The sequence below is a fragment of the Homo sapiens genome, chromosome 7, assembly GCF_000001405.40.
Source record: "Homo sapiens chromosome 7, GRCh38.p14 Primary Assembly".
In the NCBI taxonomy this organism is placed as follows: Eukaryota; Metazoa; Chordata; class Mammalia; order Primates; family Hominidae; genus Homo; species Homo sapiens.
In genome coordinates, this window is record NC_000007.14 from 14,749,847 (window position 1) to 14,767,791 (window position 17,945).

The following is a 17,945-nucleotide window of genomic DNA, read 5'->3' on the forward strand; positions in this document are numbered from 1 at the left end:
GTATGTTCACTTTTAAAGAAAATCTCCACAGGGGGTTTTTATAATGCACATATGAGCAGACAGATTCCATGCAAAACTTCTCTTTCCTGAAGGGCTATATGATCCAACACGACTTTGCATCACTAAGTGTATGACACAGTCTTTTACCTTACAGGTCCTCATTATGTAACACTATCCAAATGTTACTATGTTTTAGGAACTGCACTAAATATGTTATATGTGTGCTATCATTTAGTCATCACAAAACCTATGGACAAAGAAACTAAGGCTCAGAAAAGTTCCTTAAATTGCCCAACACCACAAGCTTCTAATTGACACTGAAGACATAAATATTTCTAGCTTCAATGCACATTATGTTATAGTTAAAGCATAATTTTCTAAACAGATTTTGCAATATTAACACATGGTATAAGGTAATTTCCCACTGGTTTATCAGTATTAGATGCATTTGCTGCTGTGTCAAATTGGTCTGCCGTTTGAGAAAAAAAAGATATACACAAATAAGGTATAACAATTAAAAGTAATGGTACGATTATTCAGTTTCCCACTCTTGAAAACGTTGTGTTGACTGTAACTGTTTTTGTAACCTTCGATGTTCAAAGTACAACCTATTACTTTGGGTCGTATACCTGAAATGTGTTCAAATCTGCCCGCCTCCATCTCCATTCTGATGCCCATTGTCATCTAGTGTTCTTACTTGATTGGACTGCTTCCATAACTCATATCTAGTCTTCTCTTCTACCCAAGTCCATGCCCCACATTGCTACTGGAGGTATTTTTCTAAATAGAGAATTTAACTTGTTCACCTAAAAATATGATTTATAATTTCTTTCACCTATAAAACTTAAAATTCGTAGACATTCTAAGCCTTTTTACCAAAATGTCTAGATTTATATTCCTTTAGTACCCTGCAGTGTTCTTTCCCTTGAAAAAGCTATTTCTATTTCTTTTTTTTTTTTTTTTTTTTTTTCTGAGACAGAGTCTCACTCTGTTGTTGCCCAGGCTGGAGTGCAATGGCGCGATCTCGGTTCACTGCAACCTCCACCTCCTGGGTTCAAGTGATTCTCCTGCCTCAGCCTCCCAAGTATCTGAGACTACAGGCGCTCACTCCCTCACCCAGCTAATTTTTGTATTTTTAGTGGAGTCAGTATTTTACCATGTTGGCCAGGCTGGCAGGCTGGTTTCAAACTCCTGACCCCCAAATGACTGGCCCACGTTGGCCTCCCAAAGTGCTGGGATTACAGGTGTGAGCCACCATACCTGGCCAAAAAAGCCATTTCTAATGATGAAAAAGCACAAGTAAAAACAACAGATAAACCCTAAAAATAAAACTTAGATGTGACAGAGTAATGTTGGTTTTAACTTATACTTGGAAAAGTACAAAAAGATCACCTAAAAACCCCAGCATTAGTTTTTAACTTCTATATCAATTGTTTAATAAATGTTATTAAAGAAATGAAAGAACAAACATTCTACAGTGTGAATTTAAATACCACTTTTCAAAGTTGGAATTTATCATTAAACTAAGGAGAGTTACTTGTTTATTTATTTCCCAAATGTATTTATGCTTGATTTCAAAACTTGTTTGTAAAGAAAGCAATTGATCACAATTGGTATAATTGTATTTTATAATTGTAGGTAGATTTGATAAGAAGAGGAACATCACTGAAACTATATTGATGGTAATAGTGAAGAGAAGCAGAAATACTGGTTAACATACTATTTCTGTTCCTTGCTAACTAACTGTGCTAGCACCATGCAGTTGTAGGAAGTGAAGCAATACAACAGACAATAGCTCTGCTATCAGAACAGCACTCAGGATTGTGGCCAGGTTTGGGAGGGGAAGCAAATTACACGTCATGTTCCCCACTCCTACCACATGGTGGAAGGAAATTACTTTTGAATGCAGAAGACATCAGAGTTATAGTTCCTCAATTTAAAATGAGAAAATGAGGTCCTGAGAAAATAAAGGAAATAGAATTTGTTGGTGGTATATCTCCAATATTCTCACTTTCATCTTTGGCATGTTCTCTAGAACTTTTCTATGAAATCACATTGGTCATTAAAGTATGACCACAGCCACTGTCTCTAAACATTAGTGGAACACCTTTTATGTGCAAGACACAGAGCTATTTATTATACATACATTTTAGAACCTAACCCTTTTAACAGTCCAATAAGGCTGATGCTCTCTTCCTTTTATAAGTGAACAAACTAAAGATAGAAAACTTGTCCAAGATCCGTTAAGATGAATTCGGTTCAGTCAGACTCCTCAGACCATATTTTCTCTGTTATACTTTCCTTATCCTTTCCATAATGGAAAGGGTTGAATTTGGTTCTAGAAGGATAATTATAGATTACAGTAAAAAGGTTTTTATATCATTGTTAATAATTATATCAGTGTCATTATCCTTGTTAAAGACATTTAAAATATTACTTTAGGCAGCAGCACTACAAAAGGTAGGTTTTGAATCCCCAGGTTCCTTATTAAGGGTAAAAGCATATTGTCTGAATGCAAAGGGTATACACATTAAAAGAAACTACAATACAGAGTACAAAGTGCGAAAATAAAGCAAGCCCCTGTGGAGTTATGAAAGCGTAACTCAGCCTCAGGCCAAGGAACATCTACTGACAGGAAACATGTACGGAGGAAATCCTACACTCAGAGAACACTGATAGACAAAGAGCACACATAGAGCAGTAATATGTGCAGGCTGTCATTCTTCTCCCCTTGAACACCCTCAGTTTTGTCAATTCTTTCTATTCTGTAACTGCAATTGCTTGCCTACTAAGCCACTGCACATGAAACAAAGACTGGGCAAGGAAAAGGAAGGAAGAAACTCACTCTGCTGACTCTCCAAAAAGCTAGAGCTTATTTTGACATGAATTTTCAGACAGCCTCTAGTAAGGATGTAGGTTGTGGAGAAAGGTGTGTTTGTTGGGTGCTCAACAAAAGTCATTTAATAGCCGAGTCCTGAAAATGTAGACATTCTTGAATGACTACATTAGAGTAAATGAAAACAAATCATTTACTCCAAGGGATTGCCTCTTAAGTGTCATAAAGCCTATTTAGTCCATATTTGGGGAAACAAGTTTCCAGAAAAGTCAGAGATGAAATCAGGAAAAGGCCATGCTCTGAAATGGAGGCTAGTAAATCTCGCCACAGTCAATGAGTTGCCATGTTACCAATGTCTCTTTATAGAATATTGTAAGATGTAGGATCTGTATCTAAGTCCACCAGTATCATTCTGATGTTATAATTGTACTTTACGTGTTGGACATGAAATTACAGTGGCTGTTGTCATTAAAAGCATCAAACAATTTAAGAATAAGAAGAAGCTAGTACATATCCAAGATTGCCCAAAGGAGACAATATTACGGTTTTAGATAACTCATACATTTTAGCAAGAAATATTTCTACAGTGGCGAAGACAATTGATATAGCTACTCTAGTGTGATTAAAAATGTCCATTTAGAGCACCTGAAAATGTGTTGTAATTCTGTGCACCCAACTGAACTACTGTTCTAAAACTTAATTTACAAAACAGATTTTCAGGGAGAGTGGTTGAAGCAACAGATTGAATAATCTTCCCAGGAGGGCAAAATCAACAACTCTTTGCTTATGTTTCCCCCACATATTCTATCACAGCACTGTAGACAAAACAAAACAAAACAAAACAAAACAAAGCCTTATCATTGCATTTTAAATGCAATTTTAAAATTTCCCATGGTAAATTAATAAATTAAGACTTTTACTAAATAAAATATAATAGCACAGCCTTATATATCTTCATGAAATTAGAAAAATAAATTCCAGAGTCTACAAAACTGAAGGCCACACTTGAGACCCTTTTTGTCTATTAAGGTACCAGCTCCTATTAAGGCACGAAATCCTTTGATGGATTAAAAATTTTGTCACATCCAGCTTAGTTATAACCTATGAGTATTATAGGCAACCTTGTATACTATAGAAATCATATTGGTACAGAAGTATAGTTCAGTGATATGGATGAGAAATTCATAGATCATATCAGAATAAAGAAAGAAAAGACAGACTTTAATAGAAAAGAAAATGTCTTACTTGGTTAAGAATGTCTTGTTTCTGTGCATGCAAGGAAAGAAAGAATACATGTGTTAATGTAAGATACTTTATACTCATTATCTCATATCTCTGATTATTTAGCTAAAAGTTCAAGTTTACAGGTTGATTTTAAAACACACCCTAGATCCATAGGCCTCAAAAGGTGGTTCCGAAACAGTGGCATCAGCATAAGTTAGAAAACTGATAGAAATGCAAATTCTTGACCCCCACCTCAGAAACACTGAATCTAAAACTGCGTGGGGTCGGGGGGAGGCAGGCAGCAATCCATGTTTTGACAAGCCCCCCGGTTGATTCTGAGGTACACTAAAATTTCAGAATCAATGACTAGATCAATCTTTGTATATAATAAGCAAACTGTTCTGACATTAGATAAATATAATATGTAACACATACAGTGTGATTAAAATATTTTAGAGGATTAACAGAAATATAACCATCTATATAAAGGTATATTAGATTTTGAATATGTATTTCCCATTCCTAAGATATCCTTCTATTAGCGTCACGCCTAGCATCTCTCCATACTCTTAAAGATTAAAATATATTTCTATACACATCTGCCACTTTCTTCCCATATCTCAGCTGTGAGTGGAACAATTTGGAATTGAACTTGAAGTCCAAGATCAAAAGAAAAAAAAAATGTGTGGAATGCTAAACTGGTTTCCCCTCATACTACCAAATTCTACTGCTCTCAGGAGACTATTTACATGGCCTGACTATGTTTTACTGAGAATAACCTCACTGAAACTGGATCTCTGCTACAAACTAGCTGTAATAACGTTCTTAACATTATATTATTTACACAAGAGTAGGTGGAGGCTAATAAGACTCTCTCCCCTTGTCAGGCATGAGTCATTAATATGTATGTGTACTGGGAAGTGCCACACTCACTACAAAAGCAATGTCTTCCCATGCCTTCCCCTAACCTTTCTCCTTCCTATCTAAGAGGATGTTCCTCTCCCCTATGGCTTGGTCAATGAAGTGAAGAGCACAGGGCATTAGCCTTAAACTGGGATTCTAGTCAATTAGGTTTTTGTTGTGGTTACTGTCACAAGCTAGCTGGTGAATCTTGGACAAATCATTTCACTTTTCTTAAAATAGTTTCTTTATTTAAAAACTTTGTAATTTTATTAATTTGGGAATCTCAAGACCTTTGAATGGTTTTTATTCCTACAGAATCTTTAAGGCTATTGTTTAGATTTCTCTTATTCATTTCTTCAAGGAATGATTATCAAATGATCTTTAAAAGATGGGAATTAAAAGTAAATGATTCATTCACATATTATACTTAATATTTTTTCTCTATTAAAATAGACTTCAACAGGTCATATCTTTTTGGGTTAAATTTTTATCCCCAGCACTTTAAAACTTCAGTAATTCAAGTGAATTATAAGCAAAATAGTACATCTACGATTTAAACAGCTTTATGTTGTAGGAGGATAAGCAATTTAATTTTTGCAAATACATTTTATGTAAATGATACAAGCTATGTTCCTTTTAGAAAACGATGAATTAATTATTCATTCCAAATTCAGGTTGCATTACTCAATTGTCCATTTTTTCTTGTATAATTCAGCATCATTAACTAGTCATCAGTGCAAACAACTTTGGGGTCAACTTGACCAGCCAATGCAGAGTGATAACTTCACATGTGAATTGACATTAGGAATTCTGCCATATTGTAAGAGTAATTTTTTATAAATTGGATGAGGTCATGTATTGAAGAGAACTTTAAGGGCATAAAGATTTATTTCTCATCATTAGATATTCTTAATTATTTTCAATTGGCTTTTAGAAGATACATACTAGTTTTTTAAATGGTTATATAAGCCTTAAAATTTTCTTCCGAAGGAAAAATTTTATGAAAATTAACTAAGATCAGAGAGTGGTTTTGCTCTTAATTTAGAATTGTTCTTGGGTTGTAATGAGATCTAACTTTTTGTTTTTCAACTGTTCGTTATTTTAATAACATGTTTCAACAATAGATCTGTACATTTATGAAATGTATTACATTGTTGAAAAGGGTGATATGTGTGTCTAATAATGATCTAATAACTACCTCAAAAAATGCAGCATATGGTGACTGATAATTCTCATGAAATATATAATTACAGTAAGACTAAGTCTTGAGAGTCCTATAAATAAAAAATAATTGAAGCAAAAAGGCTGCTTTGCAAACAAGATCACTTAACTGAGTTTGTAGCCAGCAGCTATCATTATGGAGAAAAACAGGTTTTATCTCTGTATATAGATTAGATAAGCATGTAAGTTTTCAAATATTGTTGTGAATATAAATATTAATGACAATTTTTGTGTCTTATAGCAATTCAGTGCTATAATTCATCTTTACGTTTCCCACCCTGCTTTCTTAGGCTTTGAGATTCTCAGTTTTGTAAGTTTAGCTGCTAATTTTTTTTTCCTCCTCCTCTATGGCATCTAGAAAAATACAAGGGAAATGTAGGTCAAACATCTATTTTTTTTCTAATACAGAAAAAGGGAACGGCTTTAAATAGCCTTTATTTTCTCCATCATTTATAGGCACCAAATATTAATTTTATTTTTTAAGAAGAAAATAAATTCCAGGCTAAAGAGTTTTAAAAGTTACAGTAATGTACCAGAATGTAGAGAGAATAAGAAAATATGACATGAAAAATAGCTAACTACGAGAAATACTGATAGGAAATTTCAAAACAATTTGAATATCTTGAGGGTTATGATAACTAAAATTAAGTTCTAGAAATCCCAGGGAAGTACAATATTGAAAGATAACTAAGAAGTGTGCTCTTGCAAACATACAAAAAAAAAACAATAATAGCAAAAAATAAGTCACATTTTAGTCAGCAAACAAATCTATCTAGTTAATACATCCTGACAAAAGGGTCTTTTGCAAAGAGAAGTATGAAGCAACGTAAATGTTGCCTTCTGAAGCTGCAAATGAACTAACAGTAATGATGATCGAACATTTAAAATGTAACATCTCTCAACTAATATTAAATAGGTTATTTAACAAGCAATTAGGAAGGAAAAGGCATTCATTCCAGCATGGTATTCAAAAGCAATTGACAAGACATGCAAAGTTTTCATAAGAAAATCTTAAAGAAATCTTAAGCTTACTGGTAAAAGGTAAAATAGAAGATTAAAAAAATTCCTCCCTTTTTGTACAAGTTGGTTCCTTAAGGTGACGGACCAGGTATAAGCAACACAAAATCCTTCTTTGGTCAAGGAAATAATTGCCTGAAAGGGGTAACTCCCTACCCCTACACCAATATCCATTTTGGATTGAAATTCGTGGGTCATAGACTGAGAGCCAAGCATACTCCTTCTCTATTTTATCCAATGCTGTTTCCTGACTTCTAGGAAAAGAACCAACGCTACACTTAAATGATTCATATTCTTTCAAGCATACAATATAGAAGAGTTATTTGAACGAAAAATGTACAACATTTAATATATCTTCTAGAATAGCACTGCATTATGAACTTCATTTTGTTTATGTTATGATACATGGTAAATGGTTTATGGTGTGCATATATATATATATACACACACATACACATATACATACATCTGTATCATACATATATAATGTATATGTGTACATATACATACACACACACACACATACATTTTTCCAAGAATTGTTTATTAAGAAATACCCTCTTCCAAGCATATATACGAAACTGATATAAAGAAAAAGAAGTTTTACCCCTTCAGGATTATACTTTGCAAGCACACCATTACCATGGAATTCTTCAAGAACATCCTTTAATTTCTTTGTAGAATCTATAAAAAACAGAAAACACAAAAATTGTTTATATGCACATACTGTGGTTGTGTAGCCCAGTCCAGAAACAGAGACCACTTAAAATGTAAATAAGCATCAGCAGAAACTAAATTTAAAAACCAACACATAAAATATCTCTTGCCATTTTTGAAAGGCTATTTAATTGGAAAAGAAATTGCAAAGGAGCAAAAAGATCACTGCATTAAATAAAAACAATACAGCTGGATAAGAAAAATATGGGTAGCTAAGCCTCAATGGTGAATCCATTTAGAGGGACGCTATAGATTTTAGTATCTGTAGATATTTTTAAGGAGAATTTTCTCTGTATACATAACACAACTAAACTAAAGCCTACTTTAGTAATTAAAGTTTTAGTAAGTAAGCTTTAATTTAGTTGTGTCACATATTTTACCCTATATATGCATTACGAATAACATTTTAGTTTTGTTATGTATAAATTAAAGCTTACCCTATTCAATGAAGAAACAAAGCTTAGACATATTACCAAAAGAATTATAAATTATTTTCTTCAAAAGTACTATTATTTTTAAACCTTTCATCTTATTAGTTGGTGACAAGAAATTTTAAGTTAATAAAATAATGTCATAAAAGAATTATCAGTATTACAATTAAAGTTAAATACATTAATATGATATAGATATATACATTCAGTCTACTAAAATATGCTCATTATACTTATTGAAATATAATTTTTGATTTAGAAATCTCAGAATTACAACGCATTTTTAAGTTAGAAGGAAATAATAGCTAACAAATATGGGTAAGTCATCTAAATATTTAATCAAGTTTGAATAATAATGAAAAAACCTCAAAATTAAAATGTAGGAAATACATGGATTTCCCAGTTTTCTTTTATGGAACAGAGCATGGAAAATTATTGGCTACCAATTGAATATAATTCTTGTTGACCTTCCCTAAGAGTCAGTGATACTTGGACTACCACAAAATATTTCCCAGTTCCAGAAAACTAATTCACAAATTAGCTTTTGAAACATCCTGCTAGAAAACTCTCTCATAGATGCCCATTGAATATATAATGCCTATATTTTGTGAATTGTACTTTTACTTGGAATGTACCATTTCCTTTCTTTATATTGTAAATTCTGTGGGTTTGTGTATGTGTGTGAAACAATAGATAGATAGATAGATAGATAGATAGATAGATAGATAGATAGATAGATACATAGATAGATAGAGTTTCGCTCTTGTTACCCAGGCTGGAGTGCAATGGCACAGTCTTGGCTCACTGCAACCTCCATCTCCTGGGTTCAACCGGTTCTCCTGCCTCAGCCTCCCAAGTAGCTGGGATTACAGGGGCTTACCACCATGCCTGGCTAATTTTTATAATTTTAGTAGAGACAGGGTTTCACCACGTTGGCCAGGCTGGTGTCGAACCCCTGACCTCAGGTGATCCACTCACCTTAGCCACCCAAAGAACTGGGATTACAGGCATGAGCCACCGTGCTCAGCCTGTGAAACAGTACTTTTAAGTGAGATAAAATTCGTGTCACATAAAATTGACATTAACAATTTCAAAGTGTACAATTCAGTAATTTTTAGCATATTCATGATGTTGTGCAATCATTACCTCTGATTAATCCCATAACATTTTCATCACCCTGTAAAGAAACCTTATGCCCATTAAACAGTCACTCCCTGTATTTTCTCCCCTCTAACCTCTGGCTATCATTAGCCTATTTTCTGTGTCTATGGATTTGCCTATTCTGGATATTTCATGTAAATTGAATCATATAATATGTTTCCTTTGTGTCTGGCTTCTTTCACTTAGCTTAGTGTTTTCAAGGTTTTTCCATGTTATAACATGTATCAGTACTTCACTCCTTTTTATAGCTGAATAATATTCCATTATAATGAATATACTCCATTTAATAAATCTATTTATCAGCTGATGTACATTCAACTTGTTTCCAGGTTTTGGCTGTTAGGAATTCTGCTATGAACATTCAAGTGTACACGTTTTTGTATAAACATATAATTCAATTCTCTTGGCTATATACCTGATAGTAAAATTGCCAGATCATACAGTAACTCTATGTTTAGTGTTTTGAGGAACTGCCAAATTGATTTTCACAACAGCTACACCATTTTACACTCCCACCAGTAAGGTGTAAGGATTCCAGTCTCTCTATATCCTTGCCAAAACTTGTTATTTTCTAACCCTTTTTTTGTTACAGCCATCCTAGTGGATGTGAAATGATTCGACTCACATCTGATTAGTCATTCGCTAATGACTAATAATGCTGAGCATCTTTTTATATGCCTATTGGTCGTTTGTATATTCTTTGGCAAAATGTCTATTCAAGTTCTTTGACCATTTTTTAATTGGACGGTTTGTCTTTTTGTTGTGGACATCCTCTGGGGGGTGTGTGTGTACGCACATTTGCTTGATGCCTATACAGCTTCCTATGTATTTCCTTTTTGGTGTATAATTTGCTGGCATTTTCCATATTGTGATCAGAGTTAATTTTTTATGTCATGTCCCTTGCTAGATTGGAGGTTGTTCTCGGGCAGAAAATGTGTGTTTTCATTTTAGCACAACTTTCAACTTCATCACAAAGTTGAAACAATAGCATTGCAATAAATATTGAGATTAAATTAATCAGAGCTATTCCTAAATGGCAAAAAATTACAATAATTGCTTCTATATGTACTTTGTTAGACACTTACACTGCAGAGAGAGACCAAACTGCATATCAAAAAGAGACATGAAGCTGACCCCTTATTCTCAAATTCTTCTTTGTGGGTAATAAGGCACTATTCTAAGTTAGCAGAACTGCTTTTACTTCTTTTTATCCATAATCGTAGATGCAACCCATACTGTGCAGACCCACAGAGACACACACATACACAGATGCATACATTCTGGAATATCATATCTCGAGAGACTATGTTTATTTTAACCATATCTTAGGCCAATGATAAAATGGAAGGCGGAGAAAACAATTTTGGTTTCTCCCACATAGGCCTGCCCCACAACTTTAGAGACACTGCTTAGATGGCCTTTTCGTTTCAGGTTTCTATGAGAGTAAAAAACATATTCAGTAATTATTTATAAATGACTCAGAGAAGGGGAAAGCTCATAAAATTATTCCTACAATATTTTATTAGTGTACTGGTCATAGTTTATACTGAATATTCTTAGTAGAGAAATCATGAGCTAAATTAACAGCCAAAAACCTCTAGATATATGACTGCCCTTTCCATGAACTAGGGCTCAACAATGACTTGGTCTGAGACAATTTAAAGTGCTCTAGTTGATATTCAGATGAATCACTATCAATTCAACTCACTGCCTCTCCAATTCTCAAGTTCCAGTTCTAATATCTTAATATTTGAAGTTTAACTATGACCTGATCTCCACTTTACAATCTAGTTTGGAAACTGGAGCATTATCTTGTTTTTGTATTCCTGTCTCAATAACATTTCTTGGGCCCAGTTTCTCTAAGGCTGAGGCCCTGATTTGACCGGTCAATCTTCTAAAGATAAGGATTTGCGCATGGAACACCAGAGAGTTCAGGATATCCATAACCTTTCAACAGCATTGTTTTTACATGAATTATCTACATGTCTTCTTGGACACCCAAATTGCACTAGGTTGTGAAAATCCTACTGCTATGTTTTACCTTCTTTTGGGGGGAACACACATTTATCTTATTTGTAAGTTAACTGCTTGTCCAAATTTCTTCCTATGGCCTATCACCATAAACATTCCTATCTTTTTTATTGTGCCAACTCTGAGTTACATTCTGTCCAAAACTACACTGGGGCAGTGGAGAGGGGAAAGGATCTATAACTAGGCCTGACCTGCCTTCTAGGACAAAATAAACAGAGGAAGTTATACCTGGATGAACAGATAGTAAGACGTGGCCTCAGTCATAATTCAGCTAATAATAGAGCTTCGGGAAAGAGCACAGTGACAGATACTAGGCTGAGCAATGCTGAGAAATCCAGGCAAGCAGCCAGCCAGGCAGGCAGCTGTGAGCTTGGAGATCAGTTTAGTAAATACATGTCTGTAATGGGAGAAAGAACCTGGAAGATTGGCCAGTGAAGTGCTAGGCAGCCCAGTGCTGAGCAGCCAGGTTGAAAACAGCAGGTTTAGTTCTTGGGATAAGGGAGCTGGACAGATGCGCAGCACAAAAGATTGGGTCTCCTGGAAAGCAAAGGAGGGGTATGACTTGGGGAAATTCTGAAACATGGGGCTAATTTCAGAGGTTCCTATGCTTGGCTTGACTGGCAGGGCAGGATACTTGGAAAACAACAGTGAATACAAATTACTGCCCTTTGACTAACATATCCATTTTCCCAGCAAGTAATTTAATACTATACCAATAACTACAGCTGAGACAATGGGCTGTCTTTTTCATCACTGTCAGAATCAACTTAGAGCTGAAAATGGTACTGAGCATGAAAGCGGGAGGTGTTTTATTAAGCAAACATTCTTGGAATGAGCTGGGAAAGAACAAAGAAAATGTTTATGGGGAGATGAGTTGACTTTCTCCTATACTTTACCTTTCTATCACCTGCTCTGGTACTTGAGTAATTCCAGGGGCCCCCCAAAATGCACACACCCTGTCAATCTTCTCATTTCGGCTGAGTCATGTAATAAACAATGCCATGAGAGTTAAATGAACTACATTTTAGGGATCAACGTTAAATTTTTATTTACTTTTAAAATGTTCAGAATTTTTAACGATTTTCAAGAAAAATTAAAGACCCTTTACATTAGTCTGAATTGAAAATAAATAAATGACTAATAGCATTTGGTAACGTTTAGAAAATGCAAATAGATCATAAAAAGTACTACATGAAAAATGAAACACTTAGTTCCTCTCACATCTCTTTAGGCATCTGTTACATCTTGAGTGAGTCTCCTTTGTGATTTTCCTGCCTCTTTGTCTCTTTATTCCAAAAAACTCAACACATACTTGTCAGATTAATCTCAAAGGCCCCATGAAGTAACGGAGAGATTTAAAGCCAGCTAGATTTAGATTTGAATCTTGGCTCCAGAATGCTTGGCTGAATGTCCCTGGGCATATTTTTAACCTCTCTATGGTTCAGTTTTCTAATATTTAAAATTAGAATAATGATAGGGATCTGGCAATACTGTGTCTAGCAAAGTGTCTGGTGCCCAATAAATCCTTGTTCCTTTATTTCATCCTAAATGTGACTTTAAACAAATCATCACCCTTCAACTGTTTCCTGTTGCTTTTGGATTGAAGCACAAACTCCTCCTCTTGGCACCATAGGTGTGTCAAAATATGATCCAAATCTATCTTCCAACAGTTATTTTCTGTATCTTCCATATTTACTATTCAATATCCATTCATCCAATTGTGAAGGCATCCCATCATCCCATGATTTTAGAGCTCTTCTTTTGCTGATGATTTTTTTTTCCTCAGGAATCCCGCCAATGTTGAGTGAAGTTCAACATAATGTATGGCATGGTTTATCTGTCAACTTATCCACAAAATCTCTCAGGACCTCCTCAAACACAGTAGGTTGTAACTCATCCTCCATGGGACACCCCATAATAACTCTCTCAGAATCTACATCTCATTTGTGCATTGGGCACTAGTAACACTATTAATTATAGCTTGAATGCATGAGCATTTTAGAGTTTGCAAAGTGTTCTATTATCTCATTTAAAATTCACAATAATGTTAACAAATATTCACTCCACTTAACACATGAAGAAATCAAAGTTAAGGAAATTATTACCTACTTAGGATCACACAGCTAAAAAGTTTCACATAATGATTCAAGCTATTGTATATGACCCAAACCCATTCTCGTCACTTTGGAAAAAGAACAAATACAAGTTTATAATTTGGCTTAGGAACCTCATTATTACAACAGCTAAAATCACACAGCCAAAAGAATGTACAGTAGTGATTCAAACTCCTATACAGTAAATATATTTTAAAGATCAAGGCCAATAATTTTGCCACCTAAATAGTAGTCATAGCTGCTGTGAGAAGACTATCATATATTCTACTGTTAAAGCTAAGACCCAACTTACAAAATGCATTTGTCATTTTTGTAAATAATGTGTTTTTAGTGGACTGACTGTAAGTTCATTATCTGGTGTTTTTGTTTTTAACCAAAATAGTGCCATGTTTCCCACGTTCAGTAGAGATATTGGTTTTCCAGGCTAATATGATAGTTTTTACAAAGTGAGAGAGGCTCAATGGGACCATGGAAAAGTCATCTTTCGGGTCTCTCAATTCAGTGCTTTCAAAAGTTTCCTTTAAAATCTAAGCCTCCCCACATAGCTTTTTCCTCTTATCACAAAAGATATTCGTGGTATAGAAGACTTTTCCTGTGCTCAGCAAAAAAGCATTTTTTCAGGAACTATATTAACCCTGTAGTAGAGAGGGCTCTGCAACTTCAACTGTTTAAAGAGAAGATTTTTCTAATTTAAATACTTAGCTAGCATTAATGTGCAGACGCATTAATGCTAAGTATTTAAATTAGAAAAATCTTTATCAATTATGTCAATGTTAAAGTTATAATTAATTTATATAATTTAATTGTATAATTGTATAGTTAAATTGTATTAATTGTTGTGCAGACAACATAGTAGCATTCAGTCCAATGTTACATTTCATAAAGTTTCCCTTAGCTACATAGTACTTAAAAGTAGTGAAATAGTGCTTTATCTTCATTTAACCCAGTAATACTCAAACCTGGATCCATATCAGGATCATCCGGGGATCTTTTAATATACACTGATGTTTGCACTCAAAACACAGTGAGGCAGATTTAATTAGCCTACATCTCCATGACTGGCTAGTCATGAGGACCTTTAAAAAAGGCTCTCAGTTGAGTCTTATATGCAGCTGAGATGGAATTAATCACTGCTCTGATCCTTAAATACATGCATAAAGAAAGTGAGAGTTAATCAGCAATTTTTATCCTGCTAAATTTTCCTATGTATGAATATATATTTTGTCTGATTGCTACACGGGGAACTTCTTTTAGGGAAGAAAAAAAAAACCTCATGAGAACATTTTATTTAAAGATTTATTTACTCTCACCTTAGGTCACAATAGCAAAAATAGCATTTTGGAATCCAGCAGAGAGATCCAGAAAATAATATTGTCATTAAATGAAATTCCCCAGATGATATAAAAGAAGTTCTACTTAGAGCCAGCAGCAGAAAATAAATACCTACAGGACTATAGAATAAGAGATTTAGAGAACTAGTCAATAAGAAACAGAAGTTTTTATCTACTTGTGTGAGAATTTTCATAAAAGTACAAAGAGATTGAAAAAGAAATATGGAACTATTGTTAAAAATAATAACAGCCATATTGTAGCAGTTTATATGCTATTTGAAATCTATACACTTGGATTTTTTAAAATCCTAAAAATAATATTCTAATGATACTGCTACAGTGGGAAAAGCTGTACAAAAACCAAACCCTCTATTCAGGTCTTTGCTCCAGGCTCACCACAGGATTCTGGGAAAATCCTTTAAGCTGCTCTGAGTGCAAGTCACTCTCTACTTGTTCCTGCTAAGCATTTGGGATCATCGTTAGCTTAAAAAGATAATGGGCATAATATCTTTGAGCAACCTGTTACACATATAGCAATAAGTATTTCTACTTAGCAAAAATAAAAACTAGTTAATTCCAAAATGACTACAGATTTGAGAACATGAAGAAAATTTCCTTTCTCCTTTTCATATTTATTATCGTTGTTAATCCTCTTAAACATCAGTTTTTATTAACTCTTTCTTGTATTTGCTGGTAATTTTTACTCCTTCATCTATCTACATCTAATGTTTTGATGTATGAATCTAATCCAATGCCTTGCACAAAATATTTGTAAGAGTCATTTGTTTTGATAGACAAATATCTGCTAATTTAGCCAGCAACCCTATCCAGACACTAGGAACCTATGAAATAATTTCCACCTTTATACGTATTTTATTGTGTAGAAAATACATTAAGAAAAAGAGTATACTTGCCTTCGAGCCACTCATCTATACTATAACTAAAAACTTCTATTGAAAACATAATTGCTAATTAAGAGATACTATTAGGGACAGAATTGACTGGTGTGGACCAATAGTGTGCTGGTAAATGTTTAACAACTCTTTGGGATGTGAAGGGTGCCTACTGTAGTGTTTGCCAATTGCTGTCTTGTAAATATTTCCACCATGACAATTTCAAGCCTCCCACATGACATCATTAATGTGGAGTTGGGAAAGAATGCTAACATTCAGCTCTGATAAGCAATAATTAATGAATCAATCTATATGTGATTATTTGTACTTTAGAAACAATAAATAGGTCTTTAAAGACAAATCTGGAGATAAAGAACGGAAATAAAAAGCCTGCAGCTATGACTTCTTAATCATTCTTTCAAATATTCTCAAGCCACCTATTGAGTTTAGAACAAGTACTGTTCCAACTATTGGAATATATCATTGAACAAAACAGAAAATATGCCTAATCCTATAGTTTGTATTCTAGTGCAAGAAGATAGATTACAAACATAATACATTATTAAGACAATCTTATATCAATGCAGTATAGAGATGTGATGGCATGGAGGTGTTAGTGGTGGAGTAGGAAAGATGAATTATTTTGAAAGTAGAGCCAAAAGAATTTCCTTATTGATTGGATATGGGTTGTGACAGTAATGTGTCAAGAGTCCCAGAGTTGTAGATTTGAGCAATTGGAGGGATAAACTTGCCAATAAGTAAAATGAGGAACACTGCAGATGAAGCATGTTTGGAATGAGGAGTCTTCAATTTTAGTTTTAGGCATTTTATATTTCATAAATATATTAGATATCCAAGTGTAGCCATTAGGAAAGCAATTATTTATGAGTGTGGAACCCAATAGAGAAGCCTGGGCTGAAGAACGAAATTTGAGTATAATTTCTATATAAACAGTATTTAACTGGATGACATCACATGTATAGTGATTGTAGATAGATAAGATAGCAAGGACTGAGTTTTGAGTCTCAGTTCACTCTGCAGTTCAAGTACCAGGAAAAGAGATGCAATCTGCTAGGAAACTAAGAATGAATGCCTAGTGAAATAGCAAGAATACCAGGAAAAATAATGTATCCCAAAAGCAAAGTGTCATGTAATATCAAGTTAAATGAGGAGCAGATTTAGCAAGACTTTTAAGTTTAGCCAGAAGGAAATCATTTGTGTCCCTTTCAAGGGCTGTTTCAATTCAGTAGCTGGGAAAAAAAAAATAAACCCAGAGTGAGTTTAAGAGAAAATATGATGAGAGGAATGGGAGGCAGCAAATATAGGCAACTCATTCAAAAACAATTTTTTGCCATAGAAGGAAAGAATTTGGGCAGTAGCTGGACTGCAAGAAGTGAAGGCAAGATAAATTTTTTTAAAAAAAGAGAAAAAAAACAGCATTCTAATAGAAATTATTCAGTCGAGAGAGAAAAAAATAAAAAATTAAAAAAAAAATTTTTAAACACCCACTAGAATGTTGTCCTTTAGTGGGTAAGAGAGAATGCAATCTTCTTCATAGCAGAAGGTCTGGCTTAGAGTGGAGGCATGGACAGTTTACCTAAGTAGGAAGGCAGATTGACAAGTGCTGCTTAATTACCATTCACTATTTGTCATGACATCATTACTATTGGTAAGTGGATATAATAATAATGTTTTCTTTGTCCTTAGGCTGGGATTAGTAGCTGGTGCATAGTATATATTCATTGACAGTGAGCCCTTATCATCATCATCTGTGCCATCAGGCTTAAGCTAAGCTCCGGGGATTTCATTTTTCTATAACCTTAATTTCAGATTATTCACAATTTTCTTAATTTTCTTTTACATTTTCACTAGATGCTTTTAACTTCCTCTCTTTAACCAACAACTTGAATACAATATAAGATGTCTTAAAGTTATATGTAAAATAGAAATTGTATATTTTTTTGTGTTGTAAAATTCACTTTTGTGGGCAATAGAATTAAATGCAGACATTTTATGTGTGTAAATCAAAATGTTTAAGGAAATGCAAGTATGAGTTACATTTTTGA

At 34.0% G+C, this 17,945-nt stretch overlaps 1 protein-coding gene across 25 annotated transcripts in view; it reads right to left on the bottom strand.

Moving 5' to 3' along the window:
• Window positions 1–17,945, bottom strand: part of DGKB (diacylglycerol kinase beta) — an 829,810-nt gene that overhangs the window by 604,798 nt on the left and 207,067 nt on the right. For 14 of the 25 annotated variants that reach the window (XR_001744571.2, NM_001350717.2, NM_001350707.2 and 11 more), the window contains 2 exons: window positions 7,809–7,885; window positions 4,082–4,102 (listed from right to left, as the gene is read on the bottom strand). Coding sequence is in view for 24 of the 25 variants with exons in the window: in NM_001350717.2 (NP_001337646.1) it covers window positions 4,082–4,102; window positions 7,809–7,885 (98 nt within the window). In the remaining variant the exon portion in view is untranslated. The remainder of the gene's footprint in view (window positions 1–4,081; window positions 4,103–7,808; window positions 7,886–17,945) is intronic. The other 11 variants (NM_001350711.2, NM_001350720.1, NM_001350712.1 and 8 more) reach the window with 3 other exon arrangements.